Source organism: Homo sapiens, chromosome 8, assembly GCF_000001405.40.
Source record: "Homo sapiens chromosome 8, GRCh38.p14 Primary Assembly".
NCBI lineage: Eukaryota > Metazoa > Chordata > Mammalia > Primates > Hominidae > Homo > Homo sapiens.
In genome coordinates this window covers 24,184,363-24,209,213 of record NC_000008.11, presented here as the reverse complement: position 1 = coordinate 24,209,213, position 24,851 = coordinate 24,184,363, and the positions used below count along the sequence as shown (strand labels likewise).

Genomic DNA, 24,851 nt, shown 5'->3' with positions numbered 1-24,851 from the left:
CATCACCTTCTGTACCATTTTCTTTTCTTGGCTCAAAATACCTTTTCGGTGGTCATTCTCTCTCCATATATAAAGAAGTATCAGTATTCTTCTTAGTGAGGCATACTATTCCAAGACATGTACCTACTGTCTGCTATTCATTATTTGCTAATTTAAAATGTGGTCAATCTTTTGCTTTTACAAATAATACACTGCAATAAGAACCTTGTATATAACCACTTTTATTCCATATGAGAGTATCAGCTGATTCTTAGAAGTGGAATTATGGTTCAAAGTATATATGCATGTTATATATATAGATATATATTTTTCTCTATATAGATTTTACTGATTTAAAGTTTATCACAAATGCAAGAATGTGTCTATTTTCATGCTCTCATAAGCACAGTGTGCTCATAAATTTTGACCTCTGCCAACAGGAAAAAATAAAATAACATTTCATTGGAGTTTTAATTTTCTTTTCTCTTATGAATGAGACTGAGCTTTAATAATGTTAGAAGTCATCTGTATATCTTTTTCTATAAGCTTTGTGTTCATATACTTTGGCTATTTTTGCAATGGTTATTGGACTTCTGTTGAATCGTAGCAGATAAGCCCCCCTCCATGTGAGCAGGTGAAGTTCTCACATCCTATTCAGATCCATCCTCAAAGCCTGATGCTACAGCAACTGATCCAACCAGTAAGTCTGTTTATGCTACTTCTCCATTATTTAAATCCCCTTAGTGGGCCCATCAACAAAGAAAAAACTCAGATACCATAAAATGGCAGGTAAACCCTTCCATCATCTGGCCCCTATCTATCTCTTAGTTCTCTGTTGTAGTCATTAACTATTCCTCATTTTACAACCCTGCAACATCCAATTGTTTGAGGATCTCTTTTACACCATGTCACTCCCTCTATACTGTGCTCTGTTCCTAAAATAGACTCCCCCAAGTCCTCCTTTCAGCTGGTAACCTCTTATCCCTCTATTCTTCAGCCTTTTCTGGATTAACAACTTCTACTCATGCTCTATGTAGTGGTTAAACTATTCCCTCTTATAGAGAGCATGCTCTGACCTCAGAAAGCAGTAGGTGTCACTCTTCTGTACTCTCAAATCATCTGTTGTGACTATTAAAATTTTCTGATTCTGTGACAGCCTCTCCATGGAGCTGATAACTTATTTCTAAGGACTCTATTCTATTTATCTTTGAATTTCTGGAGTGTAACATAGTGTCTAACACACAACAGGTACTTAGCAGGATTTATTAACTAGGCAAATATATCCATCAAAGGAAGTTGGATAACCCACCCCAGGGATAGAGAATTAGAAAATGTATAGGAGGAATAAATGAATACAAAAGTGTGACCTGTCCCTACCTTTCACCAAATATGCTGCTGTGCAGATGTATTTGGTTTCAGTGTGGTTATACTAAGAAACATGGAGACTGTGGCTGAAAAGGGGAATGGACATATGTTAGTCTGTGTGTTTGTGTGTATGTTTCCAGGAGGACTTGAACATGATAGATATGTGTAAGATAAACATCTATAATTTAACAAATAATACAAATTAATTGTTTGTTTCAGAGTGTGATAAAATATTATTCCAGAAACTGGGAGAATTCATGCCTTTCCAGAAATAAGGAATATTCTCATGCAACCTGAATTGGTCTAACAGTGTTGATTAGGAATTATTATCATCACCATAATGTAATTGCTATTTTCAGCAGTATTTTTAAATTTTTTCCATGACTGAGATGACTCAGCTATTTAAAGAAAAATAAAAGTACAAATGAGTGGATGAGTGTGACCTGAATGCCCTCCTCAGATAATTAAAGCCATGACCCTCTCAGCTGTTTCCACTGTTACACACACCCTTTCATAAAAGCTATGCTATGAATAGTCAGCCAGCACAATATTGAATTTATTAGCGAGTCACACCATGTCACTTGAAGGTCTTCCTACGCTCTTTACTTGGGTCGAGGTCCCCAGAAAATTAGATGAATTCTGTGAATCTGTACACTCCCTTTACACCAAACAGTTATCGTCATGTTTACAGCAAGAGAAGGAGATATTGAGTTCAAAATCCTAGGCCTGAACCTTCTCTGTTTAAGTTATCTGATCTCATTGAACACTTGTTGTAAGCAGATAAGAGGAACAAGGAGGGAAAGGGTCCCCAGTCTCATACTAGGGGTTTGCTTTCTTACATCGTGGTCAAAATTGGCTTCTAAATCCTTCCTTGAGAATCCAACCATTTTAAGTAGGACGCTTGTTTATAAGAGGCAGAAATACAATTAAAAATAGACTTAGGGGAAACAAACATGGAAAAGGGAGAGAGGTTTTGTTTGGTCTTGTTTTAAGATGACAGGGAGCTTCCATCCTCAAAGAGTTAAACAGTCAACTTTGGAATCAAAGAAGTTCTGGTCCTCAGGCAGGAAAAAAAGAAAACAAAACAAAACAAAAAACAGAGTTCCAATGTTGTCATCACCCTCCCTCGCTGCTTCTCTCATCTCTGTTTCTCTTGGCCTGATAGTTTTATTCTTTCTTATTATAAGATGGTGTCTTCACACATTGGGAGATGTGACTCTAAAAGCAAGGGGTTCACAACCTCACAACCTCACACTAGAGAAATTGGGGGTTGTCCCCATAGCTCCAGTTGAATATATTATTGGAAAGGAATCTGGTTAGCCAGGCCCAGCTTAGGTTAAGCTACCTGGCCACCACTGGATAAATCACTATGGCTGAGCAGGGAGCTACTGTGGTTGCCCCAACTTGAATTGTGTCCACTCCTTTGACTAATTACTAAACTTTGACCAAACAACTGGAGATCAAGGGGTTTGGAGGCACTCTCAGAGACCCACAGAGTGAGAGAAAGGGGTACTGTCAACAGTAGACAAAGGGAGGGGTTTAGGCAGAAAAACAAAACAAAACAAAACAAAAAACAAAATTCATGCACCTTAGAAACCAGCAGCATAACATTGATTTTATGGAACATTATGTTCTGAGTTCCAACAGTTCTCTTGATAAGTGAACTCTGTGAACTTACAGGTTTGGGACCGCCTATGTTTGAATAATTACAGAAGGGGAAAAAAAGACAATGGTTATGAGAGAAAGTCCATCATGTTAGTCCTCATCTGTTTTTCCCTTGAAGAACAGGCGTGGCTTTCCTTTGGGGTTCTGGTTGTCCCAACTGAAATTGCTTCCTTAGTTGTTAGGGCAGAGACACTACCCTTTAGGTCAAAGCTTAAAGTCAGCCTGATTGTCAGCATTTATAAGGGCATTAGTAGCAAATCTCTCCTATCCTTTGAGGACTGAATGAGGCTCTTCTTTACTTTTAATGGAATATAAGACATATAGAGTATTATCTTGTTCACAGCTCAGTGTTTATTATACATACTATGAATATGTAAATTAATATTATACAACATCTATATACTGTATATATTTTAGTCTATCCCAAAATACTTGCCCCAAGGCTCATATTAGAATATCCCCCATGTTGAGATTTTTGTAGTAATTTTTCTTATACTATATAGACATATTTTGTGAGACAATTACTATATAGAAATACTGTGATGTACATTGTATTTTTTATATAATCCCAAAATAGTATGAATTAATACCTCTCAAAAACCATAGTATGTTTACCTTGTCACGTAGCCCTGTCCTAGGGCAAATGAGTAACTCATCAGCTCTGAAGAAAGACCTGTAGGAATGCAAGAGTGGGAAAAGTTGCTCAGATATTTTTGGCAGAGAACTCTGGAAAGATTTTTTTAAGTTATTTCACGCAATTACTTCACAAATGTTAAAAAAGAAAACTAAGAAATCTGAACATGGAAATTTTCTCAAAATGCAAAACCCAAACTCAACAGTCACAACTGAAATATAGTTGATAACAGCTATAGAATTCCATCAACTTTCTAAGGAAAGGCTTATAGGACAAGAGTGTATTTTTTTGTTTGTAAAGTAAAAATGTCCCTCCCCTATGCTTTATTTTCATTTTTTTTCTCCCATCACTGTGGAAGAATGTAAGATTTCATAACAACAGACATTTAGCTTGCTTGTGATTGAGTCACTGTATGCAAATATTTCACTATGCTGGAAAAGAGAATTGGGAAAGAGAATCGTTCTTCCTCCCTCTGGAATTCTTTATAAACTCCCTGGAGCATTTGAGGTAACAGCATGGCTACCAAAAGCTGTCATGTTCTGTGATTTAGACATAAGCATGCACTTTCAGAGCCATCGAACAAACGAGTTTTATTTGGGAACACTTTATGTACCCAGTGTGAAATAGGTCAGACTCCTTCAAGTAACCTTCAACTTTTACTGGAACTGATCTCAAACTTGCAGCTTAGAGGAAACAGGGTACAAACCTTGCCCTGTCTGTATTCAACCTTTTAAAATGCTTCTGTGGGACACGGATGTTTTGTTATTTTCTTAGCTGATGGTGAGAAACCCACTGAGATTTACATCTGCTTTGTTGCAAAGCTAAATTTAGCCTCCTTTTGACAGTTTACTTTGGCCCTAAGTCATTTCCGTTGGTCAGATACCTTTCACTGTCCAACTCATCCCATTGGCATAGATAGAGTATTAAATGGAATTAAAGATTTACGATCTCATGTGACTATCATTTTGAAAATGGACTTAGTCTACAGAGTTGGTGGTAACTCTTGTGGTTTGAGTTTGAATAACTGTCCGGTGTATTTACAGATCTCCTCCAATGTTAGCTATACTACTTGAAATCAACAATTTCAGAAAACGTGCTGTGCAAAGCAATGGCAAGTATCCAAAAGAACGAATGTCTTAAAATTCAGTATTTTTTTGAATGCAGAAAGGTATTGAGTGGAATTACTATACATTAAATAGCTCAGTTTCCGTTCCTTATCTGTTGATGGGTTTTTTTTTATAACTAGCTGGGATTGGACAATAAAAGTAGTATATGTTATAGTTTCATAAATACATTAAACTGGGGATTGGAAACTTCTAGTTCCAGCCCTGGCATTAAGTCGTATGTTGCCTAGAATAAATTACTTCAATTTTCTGAGATTTCTTTTTCTATCTGTACACAGCCAGCCTTCCATATCCATGGGTTCCATATCCATGCATTCAACTAACCTTGGATCACAAATATTCAGAAAAAATAAAAAATATAAAAGGATACAAAGAAAAATAATAGAGTATAACAACCATTTACATGACATTTACATTATATTAGCCATTATAAGTAATCTAGAGATGCTTTGAAGTATATGGGAGGATACGCATAGGTTATATGAAAACACTACAACATTTTATAGCAGCGACTTGATCATTTGCAGATTTCTTTATCTGTGGGGAATGCTAAAACCAATCCCCGATGATTTCAAGGACAACTGTATTATTTAATGATAACCACTGTAACAAACAACTACAAAACTTTGAGAGTTAACATAACAAAATATATGTCCTAATGACACAAGGTCCAAAGAGGATTTTCTATATCAGGTGACTCTTGGGTTTCACTTGGGGTGGCAATTCTGCCAAGAAGTAATTCAGGGACCATTTCCTTACATATTGTGACTGTCTCAACTTGGCATCCTTCATTTTTGGTTTTCAAACAGGGAGAAAGCATGAGAAATTTTGTAGGATGATTTTGGAGTGAGATCTGAAAATGACTTATACCATTTTTGTTCACATTTCATGGACTAGAACCCTTTAATATCCACAGAATAGATAACTTGCATTCACTCAGAACATTGTGAATAGAAAGTTACATTCCCTAGATGTAAAATGAATTTCCCACATATTTACATGCAACTTATGGGCACTTAACAATTTTTCTTGTTGATGATACTAGAAACTGATAGACTTGAGGATGGGATGAAACAGCTGAGACAAGAACAGGAAAGGTTGGGTACAGCAGAAAATAATCTTTTTTATTTCAAGATTTGATCTTAGACAGTCTTGGCATGGGTAAGAAAGTCAATACGGGACCAAGCAGTCAAATCAGAGCAGAGAATTCTCCTATTTACAGACATCTCCAGTTTTATCGAAGGACCTGGTTACATTCTCAGTCATGGCAAGGCAATTTTGTGTTAACATAATAGAAGACTTCTAGGAAGAAGAATGGGCCCTCAAAGCTCTTCAAAAACTTTTACTTTAGAGTTGTATGAGGTTTATTTTATTGTTGGTGGTGTTCTTTTTTTCTTTTGTTTCATTTTTAAGATGAAAAACAAATCCTTGTGGATCAAAGAGTCTTGTTTTTGTGGGAAGTTTTCCAAAATCCATAAGCTATTCATGAAGAGACTTCTTCAAACACACAATGATTTCAACAAAAATAAGACAAAGCTGTTGGATTTTTGCCCTGTGTTGTTAGGGACAAAGGCGTGCCTCTCAATTTGATAACCCTTTGCTATAGCCTGGCCTCATTACTTGAAATTGCCTGGTGACTTACATTAGTTGTGATGCCAATATGAGCCTGGTTTCCAAACTCTAAAGGCAAAGTGAGACATCTTAAAACCATAGCAGTATTCTCACACATCTAGGAAATTTAATAATGGCCAGTATTTATTAAGTACCAGGCACTATTCTGTTTATAGGTATTAACACGATGAAACCTCTTTTTGAGAGAAGGTTACTACCGCTTTGTCACCTTATTTTACAGATTAAGGAACTAAGGAGCAGCAGGGTGAAATATTTTTCTCAAAGTTACACACCTGAATAAAAAGAGAAGGCAGAATTCAAAATCCCGTATTCTGACTTCAGAGTCGAGTTCTCAACTGCAGTACATATTGCCTGGGGTGACATGAAATATCACCTTCAGCCACTTCCGATCAAAACCAAATTTTAACAAGATATTTTTAAAGGGAATAATGTATCCACATTGAAAATTAGAGAATAAAGATTTACACTCTAATAGTCCACAATCCAGGATAAGTCTTCAAAAGCATCTCTGACACGAAAAGCTTAGAAGTCATCATTCTCATCTTTTACAACAAGAAAAAGTTGAGCACAATAAAAATCCACCACCAAATCTGGACAGTGGCAGCTGAGGCCTGCCTACCTGCAGAACATAAGCCACTGGAGCTCCAGTAACACCCAAATAGCTACTTTCCTAAATTGCTAGAACATGACTTGAATAGCCTGTAATAAACTCCTGACCAGGCTCTCCTGGTGAAGCACTGAGAAAGATTCCCTCCTGGATCAAGGAAAGGGCAAGGTAACATTTGTAAAATATGCTTACAGCATTGCTCTAACAAGGTCCTACTCTACAGGGAAGAGTAAAACTTGAGCATAGCCTTATCCCAACATGAGAAATGAGCATTGCTCTCTCTTCAGCACCCGTCATTGATGCATCCTTCCAGAGAGGAAGATGGAATAGGCAGTGCTGTGCTTTCTTGAGCTTTAGCCTCTTGTTATGCCATTACAGTAAGTAATTAAATGCTTAACACTTTCATACTGGACTTGCTGCTTTGACTGGCTACTCTCATGCATGGCAGCTCAGCCTATCTCCCAGCTCAGCTGAGCTCCTGACATCTAAAATAGATTTTTTTTTTTTTTTTTGTAATTTACAACTCAATAATAAAAAGATGAATAATCCAATTAAAAGATGAGCAAAGGAACTGAAATGACATTTCTCTCATGGAGACATACAAATGGCCAAAAAGCTGATGAAAAAATGCTTAACATCCTTAAACATGAGGGAAATGCAGAAAACCACAATGAGATACCACTTCATATCCACTAAGGGGGCTATAATCCAAAAGGTGAATAACAAGTTTTGGAAAGATGTGGAGAAACTGCAATCACATATTGCTGGTGTGAACGTAACGTGGTGCAGCTGTCTTGGAAAACAATATGGCAACTCCTCATATCATCTGATCCAGCAGTTTCACTCCTAGCTATATATGTGAGAGACGGATTAAATGAGATGAAATGAAGTGAAAGGGAAATGAAAATGTGCTCATATAAAAACTTGTACACAAATGTTTGCAGCAGCATAATTCATAATAACTGAAAGGTAGAAACAACACAAATGTTTATCAGCTGATAAATGGGTAAATATCTTACATTCATACAGTAGAATATTATTCAGCAATAAAATGAAGTACTAATACCTGCTATAATATAGATGAAGCTTGGAAACATACTGAATGAGAGAGGATAGACCCAAATGACCACATATTGTATGATTCCATTTATACAAAATGTCACAAATAGATAAATTTATAGAGACAGAAATTAGATTCTTAGGGACTTACAACTAGCAAGGAAATGGAGAGATTGGTGGGTGACATCTAAGGCATACAGGGTCTCATTTTAGGATATGGAAAATATTCTAGAATTTATAGTCGTCAGGGATGCATAATTGTGAATTTTCCAAAAGCCATTGAATTTTAAACTTTAAGTGAGTGAATTGTAAGTTTTGTGGATTATACCTTAATAAAGCAGTTGAGAAATATATATATACATTGAAAGTGTTAAACACTGTATACAATTTCTAAACAAGAGTGAAATTATTTAGAAACATCTTGATCATATCTCCATAACACTTAAAATTCATCCAATATATTTGTTTCTTTTGTACACAGATATATTTCTAGTTCTTAAGACTGTATTTGCTCTATATTGGTATTCAATGATATTTGTTTACTTATATTTTTAAGTTGTAAAACAAGTAAAAATGAAATAGGCCAGAATGAATATGGCCAAATTACAATACCCCACTTACAAGCTGTCACATTACTGAGTAGCTAATGTATTGCTTTTCAAATAGCATATTAAGTGTTGAAGAGAATCTTCATTTTTGTCTTGATCTTGAAGGTAAAGGGACTAATACTGGCTGTTTCTTTGAGATAGCACACGTGTGTGCATGTGTGCATGTGTGTGTGTATTTTGGTGGGTAGGAGGAATCCTTGGTACAAAGAGCTAATGTAATCATAGTCTTCAGTAAATGGAACATTGTCATCATTGAGCTGCACAACCTGTTCTTCTGGTTTCTTGTTTTTGATTCATCCATTGATTTATTTGTGCATTTACTCAATTTTCTCATATCTCACTATGTCTCAACTATTCTAAATGATGTATAGCCTTTTTTACTTGTTCTTATATTCATTGCTGTTTTGTAGACATGTAATTTTGAATTTTAAATTTAATTTTTTTAAGGATTGTGTTAAGCTTCCTAGTTTTGCCCTTCATCACTGCTTTTAGGGTCAATCCATGTTTCTGTGTGTATATCTAGTGTGTTATTATTAACTCAGACTCATCCTCCATGGGGTTTACCTACAACACACACCTAATGGCTTCTCCAGTGATGGACATTCTACATTTCTACTACCCACTAACACAAATACTGCTGCAGTGAGTATCAGAGGGCATGTTTTTGAGTTTCTCTAGGATCATATGCCTTGGAGAAGGATCCGTGGGTCATGGGGAATAGATGGATTTAATTAGACTAAACATTGCTGGGTGGTTATGCAAAATAAGCTGTACCACCCTTCCATGAAAAGGGCATAATATATCCACAGCCACACTCCCCACTACCAACTGTCTAATTTATCACCCTCTGACAGACATAAAGTGATAATTATGGATGTTTCTATTTTTATTTTTAATACAATTGAGCATCTCTTTGAGATCTTCTATTCTGTGAATTCCTGTTCAAACCTCTTACCCATTTTCTATTAGGGTTCATGTCTTTTTCTTCTTATTTGCAAGTGTTTCTTATAACTTTTATATATTAATCCCTTGTCAATTTTAGACATTGCAAACATCTTCTCTCAGTCTAAATTTTCCATAATGTTCTATATTTAAGATAAATCTTTAATTTTTATGTAAATACATTTTGCCCTGATGCTTTCTGCATTTGAGGTTTTTATCAAATCTCAAGTGTTAATTATTTTAAAGTTATAAAATACCAAGTACCTAATGTACGTTTTTTTTTTTCAAATAGCATCTTAGTTAAGTGTTGCAGAGAATATTTTAGTTTATGTCCTGATCCTGAATGTCAAGGAGTTGCTCATCAATTCTAGACAGAAATACATTGTATAACTTTATGGTTTACCATTAAAATTTGACCTTTAGTCCATCTGCATCTAACATTATATATAGTTTTGATGAGGATTTATCTTCCAGTTCTATTCCTTTACCACTGTAAGGAATAAGCCAGGTATGTGATTATGTATCTGGAAAAAGATATATATTCAGGCAGAGGAATAGCAAGTATAAAATCCCTATGTGGAAATCAGCTTGGCATCTTCCGGGATCGGGAAGAATTCCACTGTGGTAGGAGAGCACAGAGCTAGGGAAGGAGCCATCATAAGTGAAGAAGTAGGCAGGAGCCATTCAGCAGAGTCCTTGAAGCCATGGGAAAATGGTAGATTTCATTCTAAGTGTAATTGCAATCCATTGGAGGGTAAGTAGAGTCACACAATTTGAGTTATGTTTTAAAGTAGATTTCCATGGGGCTTTCAATGATGGATGAGATTAAGAGCATTCTACTTCTTTTCTCCTGCTAATTATAACTTAACACTTCAAACAGAATACAAAAGCAACTAATAGAAGACTCTAAATAAATGAGTATTTGAAAAACCAGGTTCATTAGAGGCCTCAGGACTCCCCTGAGGTTATATTTTATTTTCCTTTTTTTTTTTTTTTTTTTTTTTTTCCCCTACTGACCTGATTTGCAGGCTATTGGGCTGATCCTAAACCCATTTGGTCCTGGGCATTACTGGTTCTGATGAGTGAATAATACCTGCTGTCTAAACATAAGCAGCCCCAAATCTTTTGTGTCTTATAAGAAACTGCTTTGGTGACTCCTACCTTTTCCAACAAAACATCATGTCCAGTGTGCATATACATATCTAGTTTGAATATTTCAAAAGAAATATCACCACTCAATATGTACTCACTTGAGGCTTTTAAAGGATACATGAGAAAGAGAATGCAAGCAGGTATTGGAAGTCTCCAGAGATATCCCATAGCTTGAACTCCCCAGGGCTCCATCTGCATATTAGGACTGGGCAGTGTCCTAGTGTGTCCATGATTTGAACTGTCATCTGTGTAAAAAACCTTGGCTCCAGGGGAGCACTCCAAAAAAATCTCAGTAGCTCTTTTAGTCAAACCAGGCTTATCAGACCAGTTAGTCCTGTTGCCTAACCATAAGTTAAGAAGGTAAACTTGGAATATGGCAAGGATGTTTCGGTCCCTAAACAGTACATCATAAATGCCACTGACCTTAAGAGTAAAAAACTTCCAATGTCTAAATATCCCCAAAGATTAAAAACAGAATATTTCCAGTACAGTTGTAAGTCAGCTCTATTCCAACAGCCTTCTAACTCTTGGTCAAAGCATTGCAAGTACAAATTGCTGATGGGTGTTCCTTTCCCTCTATCTTTCATATTATTTACAGAAAAAAAGAAAGAACAACTGCTAGAATACTATTTATTTGTATCAACAAAAAGTGTGGGTATAACTGTAAAGAAAGCTTTCAGTTTGCCAAAGATTCTAGAAGATTCCAGTGCAAACTTCTTCATAGTCATGCACAAGCTTGACAACAATTTGACAACCCTCTGCCACTAAAATGTAAACTTTATAAAGGGTATCAATGGATTGATCCAATGGAACGATTAATTCATTGTTAATAAATCTAGTTCCTCCTTTGCCCAATCAGCTTCTATTGGAAGAAAATCTTGTAAAGATTTTAATTCAATCTGACAATATATTTGGTCATCAATATCAGTGTTATAGGTTTAGTAAAAATCCATTAAATTAACCTTATAATTATACCAGCATTACACCAATTACCAATTACATTATGAATTAGATTAAGATCACTACAAAACAAGTCAGTTAAAATTACTGTCACATTTCCCTGGCTTTCCCAGCAAAAAGTGATTTTGTCCATACACCTAATGTTGTCATGGATTGAAGTATAAATCAAGAGCCAAGTTGCAGTTAGTTATGGATTCCAAGTCCCTTGTGGGCATAGTTATATGCTCTGTTTCATACTATAAGGTTTTACGGATACAGGTTCCCAAGGTGTTTATTTTTAAGAAATGTCTGTCTTTCCCCCACAGGTAAAATCTTGAAGTTTAATTAGTTTTAACTAACTTCACCAATGGGTACATCTGTTTTTATTTATGCACGGGACTCTGACAGTTAAGGAGCAGGCATGTAGATTGTATTCTCCGTTTAGAAATTTCCATGCACTCAGGAGACCATAAGTCTCCTGTAACTCATCCCTGGATCCCAGAACATTGCCCTTAAGCTAACTGCTTCCATCTGGAGGAGCATACTTCACAGCTCCTCTTTGGTTACTGTGAATGCTCTTTTCTACCTTTGTTCCCTAGGGTGCTGCCTAAGTATCTATTGAGCCTGTTTACCTATTTCTCCAAGGCTGTGTCATCTGCCCAGGCTTCTTGCTACCTTTTCCCTTTCTCTTGAAATAACATCCAATCTAATAGGCTAATATGGGCCAATAAGTCTGTTTCTTCAGTATATTTTCTATATATAATAAAAGTAAGTTTAGCTTGTCCCAGGAATCCTAGGACTATACCAGTTTCATCCAGGGCTCTTTTACAGTATTTTGGACAATGTTGGTTTACTGATTGGATATGCTGTTGCCATAGAGTCTTAGTGAGTACATACAAGTTGAGTACATATTTAGGACACAAAAATGCTGAATTCCTTAGGATGTCATATAGTTAGTAGTCATCCCCCAAAACACTTTAGTCTGAGTATGCCGGAATTTGCTATATACTCCCTTGGCAGACATTGGGGCTATCAGTAGGAGGTATGGGCCCACCAAGTCACCCCTAAACAGACATTGAAATCTGTTTGAAAAGTATTCTTTACATTGATGATTTCCCTCCATCCACATAAACATGGGTTATATGCATTAGGCCACGTAATACTATGACAAATTGAACCTGCAACAAATTTGTTCATCATGTTTAGGCATCTTCCTCAACAGGCCATCATTTAGTTTAACAGTTACACAGTGATCTATGGCTCTTTCCTGCATGGTACTTCCCAAAAGCTGTCTTTCGCAGGGTGTTGAAAATGTCATTGGGATGCTTCGTATACATGAACATATGTTAATGCTTCTTGAATTCCCTGAAGCTCATCCTGGACCTTCAGATTCAAGCAAAGGAGGAGTTTTCTGCAGACTTACACATTCACTCTCATGGGCATTTGTAACTATATCTGAGAGTAAATATCATTTTCTGTTCTAGCTTTTCCTTCTTAGCATTATCCATTTATTGGCTCTCTTTAGATTAGCAAGCACTTCTCCTTCTTTGATTTTCACCCACATCCTCCTTCTACCCCTGAAGTAAAGACATAAGGATCAGCAGAGGACTTACCTATAGAGGGGACAGCAATATGAGTCCTGCCAATGCCTTCCCCTTTATTCATTTCATTCCAATAGACTAGGGTTGGATATATATATGCTTATAGCACTGGCTCACCCACTAGGTAGGAAAGCAGAAACCGATCCAGTTCAGACAAGAGAAACACAACTTGTTATTCCCTGAGGGAATTGTACAGTGACATTGAGGGACATTGTCATGGTGTCATGTTAGCAATTGATCCTCATTCTGGAACTCTTGAATGCATTTCAACTGCTGGCATTACAAGATCAGGCAGAGAAGAAGAAACTAGTAGTAGAGAACAAGTTTATGTAACTTCCTATGCCCCATTCCTTCTTCCCTATCTTCCCCACAATATCTCAACAATTGATTCAAAGGCAAACCCTCTTTACTTCCACACAGTCTACATTTTAACACATATGTATTCAATCATGGTAAGCATCCCTTCAATTCTTAGCACCTCCAATTTACTAAGCCAGTGTTTCAATTTCCCATTCCCATTTTCAGTCAGTCCGATACTTTGTAGGTAGTCAACTGCTTTGCATATGACGCTGTCTGGCCCACAGTGCAGGGCACTCTAATAAAATTGATTCCTGGATTCAATAGTATATAAGCAGGAAGTCCAAACTGAAATAATACTATTTGCTCCAGGCCTCTATGGTGTTAAAGGAATTTGCTTCAGCTGTCAGATGTGCAAACCCAAATCCAGAATGAATATCCATCCCAGTGAAGACCCACTGTGTCTACTACAAAGTTGGGAATCCACTTGCCAGCTATAGACAAGCCCAGATCACCTTGGTATGAGGCCCATGGCTGTATCTCATCTCTGATGTTCCTGTTGACAAATAGAGCAATTTTTAGTCACTGTTCAAGCTGCTAAGGGAGACATTTGGATACGTCCCAACCCTTGTAATTGTTGCCTTGCTCAAATGCTTCCATGGCTGCTCAGAGCTCAATTTGCATACCTAAAAGGCCACTTCCAAAGTGCACTGGAGGACATTTACTTATTGGTCCCAGTCTCCTCAGAAATAAGAAGGGGGCTTTTTAATGGGCATAGATGTGAGTCCCACTTTAATTCCCCCTTCAAGTCCACAGATTTTTCTATAACAGAGCACCAGACCTGATGTTCCTTTTATCTTCCGGTCATCTAAGGCCCATTTTCCAAATCACATTGCCAGTCTGCCAGCTCCTAGTTCAAATTCCTAGCTGTTGCCGCTGGGTGGCAGTCACAGGCCTTTACCAGAAGCTCCAGTCAGCATAGCTGCAAGTAGCAGAAACTTCCCAAATCATCTCATTCAGTTCTCTTTCATCTACAGTTCACCTCCTGGATCCATCAGCTTTTCTATAAGAATATAGAATTTCTATAAGAATGTAGAATATTCTTTTCTATAAGAATATAGGCCATCCTGCACTATGACAAAAGGGATTCATGGGCACTAATATTACCACATATAACAGATCTGCAATTAAGGCCAAATTTTATACCCGCCAGGGTATCTGCTATTGTTTTAAATTACGACTTAAGTTATTTCATTCTAGCAATTTGTGATGCAGCATGCCTAAAAACAAGGGAAGAAGGAAACTGCACAAAATCCCTTGCCCAGTGATTTTGATAAGGAAAATGTCCTCAGACATCACGTCCATTGCAGTGATACTTTGATCAGTGTAGGGCAACACCGTGCACATTTTCACCCATAAATTTCCACTTTAAGCCATACAGTCACTTGCTCACCTTCATTAATTGCAACACCACAACATTCTAATTTAACTACATCGCCCTTTAACACTTCATTCACAGGTTTAAGTACCAATGTTCAGCAATCCTGATAAAGTTTCTATGCTATGCATGAGCCATTTGACCTACACCAATGTAAATAGCTAGGGGTCCCTGGCTGAGGGTTTTTCCAGGAGACCTGGGCTGTCTCATTGCATTGCACTTTTGACATTGGTATAGGCCCTGAAGAGATTTTAGACTCTTCTTTCGTGTAATACTCAAATTTTTAATCCATAACATTTTTACTAGGATAAATTTACTAGGATGAACTTACTGGGATAAATTTTCTAGGATACATTGAGTGAAATGGTCTCATTCATTTTATCATCTGAGTTGGTATTATAGCTTTTATAATCTTTTATAGCAATTCATTAACATTGTAGTGACTACTCCATCTATCTCCTCCTTTTTCATGCCATTTTTTAATCTGCCATAAAATATTTCCACCTGGTTCAATTGTCCCAAAGTTTATTCCAACTTTTGCATTCTTGTTGTTTCATTTCTTCTGAATAATCCTGCTCTTTTTCTTGTCATTAAAAACCCTATTTGAGGGAGCTGAGTAAAGAGATCAGCTGCAATTTCCCTCACAACTTTTTGTCCCCCCAACCAATGTAGGCACCCAAGGAGTCCATGAAGTTGCAACTCTTGTTATTATAACATCAACCCTCACCTAGGCCAGTTGTAGCAGAGGTTCCCAACCTTTTTGGCATCAGAAACTGGCTGCATGGAAGGCAATTTTTCCACGAACCAGCGAGGGTGGAGTGTGTTTAGGGGGAACTGTTTCACTTCAGATCATTAGGCATTAGATTCTCATAAAGAGCATGCAACCTGGATCACTCACATGCGCAGTTCACAGTAGGGTTTGCACTCTGGTGAAGCTCTAGTGTCCCTGCTGATCTGACAGGAGGTGGGGCTCAAGCGGTAATGCTGGCTCACCCGCTGCTTACCTCCTGCTGTGCAGCCTGGGTTCTAGCAGGCCATGGACTGCTCCGTGGCCCAGGGGTTGGGAAACCCTGAGTCATAGCATTAAGTTATGCATCACCACATAACCAATATGAAGTTACCTGCATCCTTAGCATTTCAGTAGCTTCAGGGTACTCCACTTAATATCTAAGAGAGGAGTGAGACAACTCTCCTTTTCAGGGCATGAATCACATAGTCTTCTTGCCTTTATGCAACTTAACAGAGTGGGACCATAATTCTGTAAAAGCTGCAAGCCAATTTAGGATCCTGAGTAAGATCCAACATGAAGTTACCCAGGATCCCCCAAACTCAATTTCCATTGCAAAAGCAATTGTGAAAAGAGCTGCAAAATGAACCTAAAAAGTAGATTAACTCTTTTATAATGGACCAGACTCCAATCAAAGCAAATATCTGACTAGTTCCCTGTGGACACTCCATTCCTCCCAGGCAGACACAGGACCTAACACCGAGGCTCTTGCAGCTTCACTCTCCCTCTCTGGGATCGTCACTTTAGCTAGAACAGATGGGAGCAGCCAAGACACCTATTCTTGGCTGACTTCTCCTCAGTGTAAACCTTTTTTGTTACCCATTTAGCTACCTCCCCTGGCCCTGGTCCACAAATGCTTTTCTACCCATCTGTGGACAGAATATTTTTGTGACCTCAGCCTAGGAGTGGGCGGTCAGAAGCCAGCAGAAACCAATGCTTTCATCCCCCCAACCTTAGCTCATCTTTCCTTCTCCTAAGCAATGCCTTAGCTGTTACCTAAATTACAGAATGGGAAGGGTCATTTCAAATGTCCGGTCTGGGTCACTCACTGTATAGTGTTCCCCAGTTTGGGTATTTTGAAAAGTACTTGCCATAGAGTATACTCATCTGCGGTTTTATTTAAAGGCAAAAGTTTCAAGGCAGCAGGAGAAAGGAAATACAGACATGCATGGGAGGTTGGAGAGACATCGGGAGGCACAAACTCCTCAGGGCCCTACCTTTGTAAACTAGGGATGGGCTGAGCCTCTGGCTTGAACCAACTTCATGCAAGGAGTCCTGCTGAGAAATTCCCCCAAAGCTCTCACTAGCTCTCTAAGTAGTCATGCCAGGTCATCAAACCGGTTAGGCCAGTTGCAAACCCTCAGTAAAGAAACTGACCCTTGGGGGGGTCACTGGGGGAGTTCGGATTTTAAGTAGCACATCATAAACACCACTGCCATTATCTTAGTCAAAAGTAAAACCAGACATCCAGGAGTCCCCAAGGATAAAGATAAAGTATTTTCAGTCCATCTGTAAACCAGCTCTCTCTCCACATATCACCTCACCAGAAAACTCAAAGAATTTATTGCCTATATTATTATGTAATTACAGTATACCATTGTCAAAAATTAAGTAAAAATTTTAAAGTTATATGTATATGTTTTATCTCTCTAGCTCGTAAAGAGCATGCAACCTGGATCCCTCACATGCACAGTTCACAGTAGGGTTTGCACTCTGGTGAAGCTCTAGTGTCCCTAGCTATATCAAAAGCTTTGTGATGAATGAGTTCATTGATTCATTGCTAAGTTAATATTTACTGAATAAAAGAATGAAAATTACCATAATTAATAAATGAAAAGTAATGATACTGAAGTAAATGAGAAATAGGTCACTACTAATCCATGATACTGAAAGGGATTTTCTAACCACCACAAGAGAGATGCCACCAGCCAGGTTGTGCCTGGGAAAATATATATCAAAATTTCTACATGGGTTTCACATCACTTAAATATGGACTCAAACTTAAATTATTAGTCAGTGTAATAATCTACGTCCTATGCAGTTCAACAAAGCAAGAAAGAATGATAAAATGATTGAAAAGGAAGAAATACATTTTCTTCTATGAATAGACAATTTTCTATATAGAAAATTCAAGAGTATTATATATGAAGAGCTGAGATAGTGACAATATTTTTTTTCTATTTTTTTCCACTTGCATGGTGATGATGATACAGGTATTTATTTTTGTTACTTGTTATATGGGACATTTATGCTTTCTTCACTTTTTGAATATATGCCATATTTCACAAACTTGAAAAAATTTTTTAAATTCATGAGAATTGACAAACCATGGGAAATAAAATATTTCAAAAAACTAAGAAATTAAAATCAGTAATGCCCCTATGTAGCAGCAATAACAAATCAGAAGTTTTGATTAAAAGAGATAAAGTGAATCTTAGTTTATGTGAAAGTATTTTAGGGTTTGTGAGGGGGTTGTTGGAGAGATCCGGGATGGATGACTCCGTGTCAAGACAGTAAATTGGAGACCCATATGCCCTCTGGGTTGAGTAGAGGCAGACCAGCTATGCCTCTAATAGCTGGAAGTCATATCTACTATGTTGGAACTATCAATATGAGAAATTAAATACTTTTTTCCACTAAGGTCTATTGCCCAGTCCCAAGGTTAGACTTCCTCTCCTAAATATTGCTGACCACACTAGGAAAATCTTTCCTCTCATTAGCCAGTGTAATTGTCTAAATGGCCTACATTTATCAAACATAGTATTCTTCTCTACACAAATAGGATCAAGAAATAGATTTGTTTAAATTTAAGATATTTTCCCAGCCTTCTGTACAGCCTCACTAAGAGACACATGCAATGGAGCCATCTTTTCTTTCACTTTCTATTTTTATTCTTTTTGATCAAGATATCAGGCCTTGGTCTAACTGTCTAGCTTAGACTTCAGTTACACATGCTAATTCAATTTTAGTAAATGCATAGTAACAGTATGAAGTCATGTAAAACTGCCTTTGTGAGAAAAAGATAGATTGTTTAAATGGGTTTTCTGTGAATGCTGACATTTCATTTTCTATTGTGAATTAATTATATGTACTTGTACCTGGGGTGTGATCTATTCTGTTATGTCCCTTGCTCTTTGAAGACAGAGATTTTATCAAATCATCTTTGGAGTTCTTACTACACCTCGTCAAGCATTTTGACCATTCTAAGCATTAAAAAAAAGTGTGCTAACTTTGTTTTCCTCGTGCTAGCATTCAGCTATTCATTTATTCAAAATAAACACCTACAATCTGAAATAAGTATAATGGGAAAACTTGAACGTTCTATTTTTCTCCCCACATTTTCCAGTTGGTTAAACAATTAATAGACACGATATGTAATGTTACTCTATCATTTTTCGGAATAGGAGCAAGACTTGGTTCCCTTTAAACTCTATGCTTCCCACATCATCTCTTAAAAGTGGAAAATAAATAGTGCTCCTGTTTGGCTAAACAGAGCCAGGAGAACAGTTCAAATTGGACTTGAACGAGAACACATCCAAGAATCACAATATCCTATATATTTGTTTATCATTTGAAGTTACCAAAGGTCTTTCATATTTAACCCTCATTGAAACCCTTCAAGACAGGTAGTCATAGAAGATATTAGCCTCATTTCACAGATAAGGAAGCATGTTTCAGTAATGCTACATTATTTGTTCAAGTCACTTACAAACTCAGTGAAGTCAAGCTTGAATCCAGGACTTTGAAGTCCTCTGTATACACTTTCTACTGTATGACACACATACACAGATTTAGGACTTAGGACTTAGGACCCCATAAAAAAGAACAAGTAATCAAGAGGTAAGCATTTTGCTTCAAAATGCAAAGCAGCTAATTTGTTGTAAATAACATTATAAATCAAATATCAAATTATGGCTTAAAGAAAATAAAGTGGAAATATAAGCAATATGGTCTTTTTGTCAATAAAATTTTTTTGGTTTTTTTTTTTCTTTTCCTACATTGCTTATTCTCAGCTAAGGTAATCAAAGTAATTTTAGGTTTATTATTTTAGCCGCCTCTGTCAGTTCAAAGTATTGTGAGACTAGACCTATACATATAGTTTTATAAAGCTACCATTTGTTGAGTGCCAGGCACTATTCTAAGTGTTTTATAAAGATGATTTTTATTAATCTTCATAATGATGTTATGATAGAGGTAAATATTATTACTTCTCTATTATAGACAAGAAATCTCAGGCTTAAAGAGGTTTAAAACTTCTCTAAAGACACATGAACAACAAATGTCAGAGCTAAGATTTGAACCTGGGTTAACCTTGACTACAAAGCCTGGGACCCCACTCTGCTAATTTTGTCCTCCCCCTACGTAAGGGGGATCAGGAAATGGAATAAATTTTGGAAACTATCCATGTGATTTGAATTCTTATGTTAGTCAAGGCTCAATCACGGAATCAGAATCACTAGGATATAGATAGATTTGTTGCAGGGACTTGACCTTATGCCATTGTGGGTCTGGATTAGACATCTCCATAAGGTTGTTGTGTTTGTGTCTAATGTGGGAGTCTGAAGATCACAGAACAGGTAGTTGGGAAGGAAAGTTGTATATGAGATGAGTGACAGCAAGATCAAGTGGGAACACTCATGCACAATCGGAAAGACAGTGTGAAACCCACATCAGTTCTTGTTGCCACTGAACTTGATGATGAGGATATCCTGCAGAAGCTGGGGTCCTTTGTCACAGGACTAAACACACACACACTTGGCCTAGGCTTTGAACAAATGGAGAGGATTGTGGCAAAGCGGAGCCATTGCGAGCCTGTCTGCTGCCTCATGCCTGTGAGGTGAGTCAGCAGATCAGAAGCAATGCCTGCCATCTATGAAATGGCTGCTTCGCGTCCGTCCTCCAGATCTCCCACAAGAATCTCTCTTCCGGTCAATGCTAGCTGGAAACATATAGGAAAGAAAATGCTGGGAAATCTATATGTTGGTGCAAAAGTAATTGTGGCTTTTGCCATTAATTTAATGGAAAAACACAATTACTTTTGCACCAACCTAATAATTTAGCCCACCCAAGTTGACCTGCCACAGAGCCACCGTAATTCTCTTGCTTTATAGACATGAAAAGTCAGTCTTGGATGGGTTGTGCAACATGGCTAAGATTTCTCAAGAAGTTGAGAGTAAAGAAATCCTATTAACTTTCCAGGTACTCTTCCTTTCACTATAAACAGGGTAACACGCAAGTTTCATTTTACTTGCCAAACATATAGATTGGTGGTAGCTGCTTGAAACACTGGGTTGTGAAAAATTCTGAGAATAAGAGTTTCTTTATTGATCAGTGATGTCTGCTGTAGGCCCAGAAGGGAGAAGCCATGATACATGTGCCACAGTGGGCCAAGTGACCCTGTACTATTTTGCTTCTCTTCAGAGAAGAAGGTTAGCTTTAATGGGGAGTTGTTTTTTGGTTTGTTTTTAATGAGACAGGGGCTCACTCGGTTGCCCAGGCCAGAGTGCAGTGACGTGATCATGACTCCCCGCAGCCTTGAACTCCTAGGCTAAGTAATTCTCTTGTCTCAGCCTCCCAAACAGCTGGGACTACAGGCACACTCTGCCATGGCCAGATCATTTTTTAAAGTTTTGTAGAGATGGTGTCTTGCTTTGTTCCTCAGGCTGGTCTCCATCTCCTGGCTTCAAGTCATCCTCCTGCCTCAGCCTCCTAAAGTGCCGGGATTACAGTTGTGAACCACCACACCCAGCCAGAAAAGATTTTAAGGGGTGTGATAAATAAATCAATTATAGCACCATATGTACTAATTAAAGGACATAAAATTGGGGGCAAGGAACTCTCTAAATTTACAGAATAGCTATCAAGAAGATAATCACATGCTTTCACAAAACACCCCTGTTGAAGCTAGCACATAGGGCTAAATGGCCATATCTAATATTTTCTGGACACAGAGAGGTGAATGGATTTTTCTAATATTCACTTTCTTATTAACAATCTGCTTAGAAACGCATACCAGTTTTCACTTACAAACATTCTTTTTGACATGGAAATTATGAACATAAAATTGTTGCTATTCTGCAATCAACTATTCATACTAAGTGAACTAATCAGGTCTTAATTGGTGCTGGTCTGAAAGTTGGATTTTCCATTGTAGCAGCATCCAGTGAGGAATTTAAAAAATTTTCTCCCATTTGGATAGTGTATATTCTAAAAAGCTTACATAGAGCTTGCTGAGTTCTATCAACAAACAAACATTTATCTTTTCTATGCACATGCTTTATCTCACTTACTCCTCTCATTGACACCGTGAAGCAGGTATAGTTCCTATTTTCACAGATGAAGAAATTCAGGTTCACATATGTGAAACTGCTATGGCCACATAGCTGGTAAGTGACAGTGTCATAATTCCAACCCAGATTTGTTGACTGCAAAGCTTATTTACTCTTTAATGGCTCTTCAACTATGCATGCTGATCCCAGACAGGGGAGAACGCCCTCATTCTGGGGCAGACTTAGGAAGCAGGTACAGGAATTCTGCTTTCTGTCTGGGGCCTCCATTCATTGACTGCTCTGCCATTCATCTTCCTGCATGCTTGCGTGAAGTACTTAATGCTGCCCCCTTCCTTGATAGGGGAAGTTTGTATTTGTCTAAATCTCTCTTTCCACTCTCTTATCACACACACGCACACCACCACCACCACCACCACTGAAAGATAGGAATGGGAGTATAGTGTAGGATGATGGTGGAATGTTTTTAAATTTTCAGCGAAGTTCTATCCTGAAGTATGTGCATCTATCTTTATATTTGCCTTAGCTTCACTAGAATAGGTGCCCTGTTAAAGCAGACGGTGAAAATAGGACCTTTCTGCACTGAATATATTATACGTTGACAACTATAGATGTTTAGGATAGGTGGGAAATTGAGATATGTTCCTTGCAGATACGCCAAAGGGAAGATAATCACAAGGATTTGCAAAGGGCACTAACATTTTCAGTTAGTACTTGACACTGTAAATCTTAATCTTCGCAACTACGTTCTAAGACTGGTCTCATCTTTCTGACTGTATTAAAGAAGAAGATGAGGTTCAGAAAACTGCAGGAAGCTTCTTGAGGCTCTAAAGCTAGTAAGAACTAATTATTGTTATTCTCACAAAGCTCCTGCTTATTGTGAAATAAAAACATTCTTCTTAGTTCATCCTTTGGGGCCCCAAAAGAAGTCTAAATTTTGTGCAATAAATAAATCTTTAAGGATAGAAAAGTGGGTCTAAACTAAAAGGTAGAATTTCCTCTTTAGGATAATTGTCGTATTTACAACTGAGCAATGGACATTCATCAGGGGTTTCAGTAGACATGTCTGTACAATGAACCTATTTCTCCAGGGCAATCCCGTTTTACTCATCAGTGGCAACATCCATATTAACAGTAGCTGCTATGAACTGAAAATTAGCTGAGTGCTCCTCAGTAAATAAAGAAGTGCATATTTTTCCCTGAAATTGTATATCTGAGAAGAATGAGGGTTAGAGTAGGTCAGTAAATTTCCTAAAGTTATACAATAAGTAAGGGACAGAGCCGGGGTTTGAATGTAGTCAGTCTGACACTGACACCACTATAAAGCACTGCATTCTATAGTCCACCAGTTAAAAAAAAAAAAAAAAAAAAAAAAAAAAAAAAAAAAAGACCAGGTCCAAAAGAAGTAGGCTGGGAAAGGGGAGGAAAAGTAAAAAGAAAGCCAGAAAGCCTTCACCAAAAACTCAATGGCTCCCCCACTCTCCGCACTGCTATTTTCAGCAGCTGGCAATAAAATGCAGTTAATAACAACAAAACTCCCAAAACTTGTTTTTGAAAAGTACTTTTTGTACTGTACAATTTTTTTATAGACGATTTTTGGAGCAATTTTAGGTTTATAGCAAAATTGAGCTGAAAGTACAGGGAGTTCTCCTATACATGGCCCCTGTACCCATTCACGCACAATCTCACTCACTCACTATTGACATCCCCCACCAGAGGGGTACATTTGTCATAATAGATGAACTTACACTGACACATTATTATCATCCAAAGTCCATAGTTTACATTAGGATTCACTCTTGTTGTATATTCTATGAATTTTCATAACTGTGGGATGACATGAATCCACCATTGCAGTATCTTACAGCCTAGTTTCACTGCCCTAAAAGTTCTCCATGTTCTGCCTCTTCAGCCATCCCTCCCTGTGACCCCTGGAAACCACTGATCCTTTTTTATCATCTCCATAGATGATGCCTTTTGACTTTTCCAGAATGTCATGTTGGTGGAATCATACAGTATATAGACTTTTCAATTTGGCTTCTTTTGCTTAGTAATATATACTTAACTTTTCACCATGCCATCTAATGGCTTGATAGCTCATATCTTTTTAGCATTGAATAACATTCCATATTGGGATGTACGACAGTTTATCCACCTATCCACTGAAGTATATCTTGATCGCATCCAAATTGGGCTGATTATGAATATAGCTGCTATACACATCTGTGCGCAAGTTTTTATATGAACATAACTTTCCAATTCATTAAGGCAAATATCAAGGAGGGCAATTGCCAGATCACATGGTAAGATTATGTTCAGTTTTCTAAGAAACTATCAAACTGTCTTCCAAAGTGGCTAACCATTTTGTATTTATTTCTGCCACAAGGAATGAGTTCCTGTTGCTCCACATCCTGTTTTGCATTTTGGCCCTTTTAATAGTTGTGTAGCGGCATTTCGTTGTTGTTTTACTTGGATTTGTAATTCCTTAAGGACATGTGATGTTGAACATGTTTGCACATGCTTACTTGCCACCTGTATATATTCTTTACTGAAGTATATGTTCAGCTCTTTTGCCCATTTTTAATCAGGTCATGTGTTTTCTTACTGTTGCATTTTAAGAGTTGTTTACATATTTTGGATAGTAGTCCTTTACCAGATGTGTCTTTTCTAAATGTTTTCTGCCAGTTTTTTTTAACCAATCCTGCAAAGCGTATTATTATAACTTTATAGTCTTA

General features: G+C 37.5%; 1 long non-coding RNA gene across 1 annotated transcript in view; it reads right to left on the bottom strand.

The window, feature by feature from the left end:
- Positions 1-1,685: 1,685 nt before the first annotated feature.
- LOC107986931 (uncharacterized) overlaps positions 1,686-24,851 on the bottom strand; it is a 290,196-nt gene continuing 267,030 nt past the window's right edge. Inside the window, exon 3 of the long non-coding RNA XR_001745844.1 lies at positions 1,686-3,682. This is a non-coding gene — a long non-coding RNA (uncharacterized LOC107986931). The remainder of the gene's footprint in view (positions 3,683-24,851) is intronic.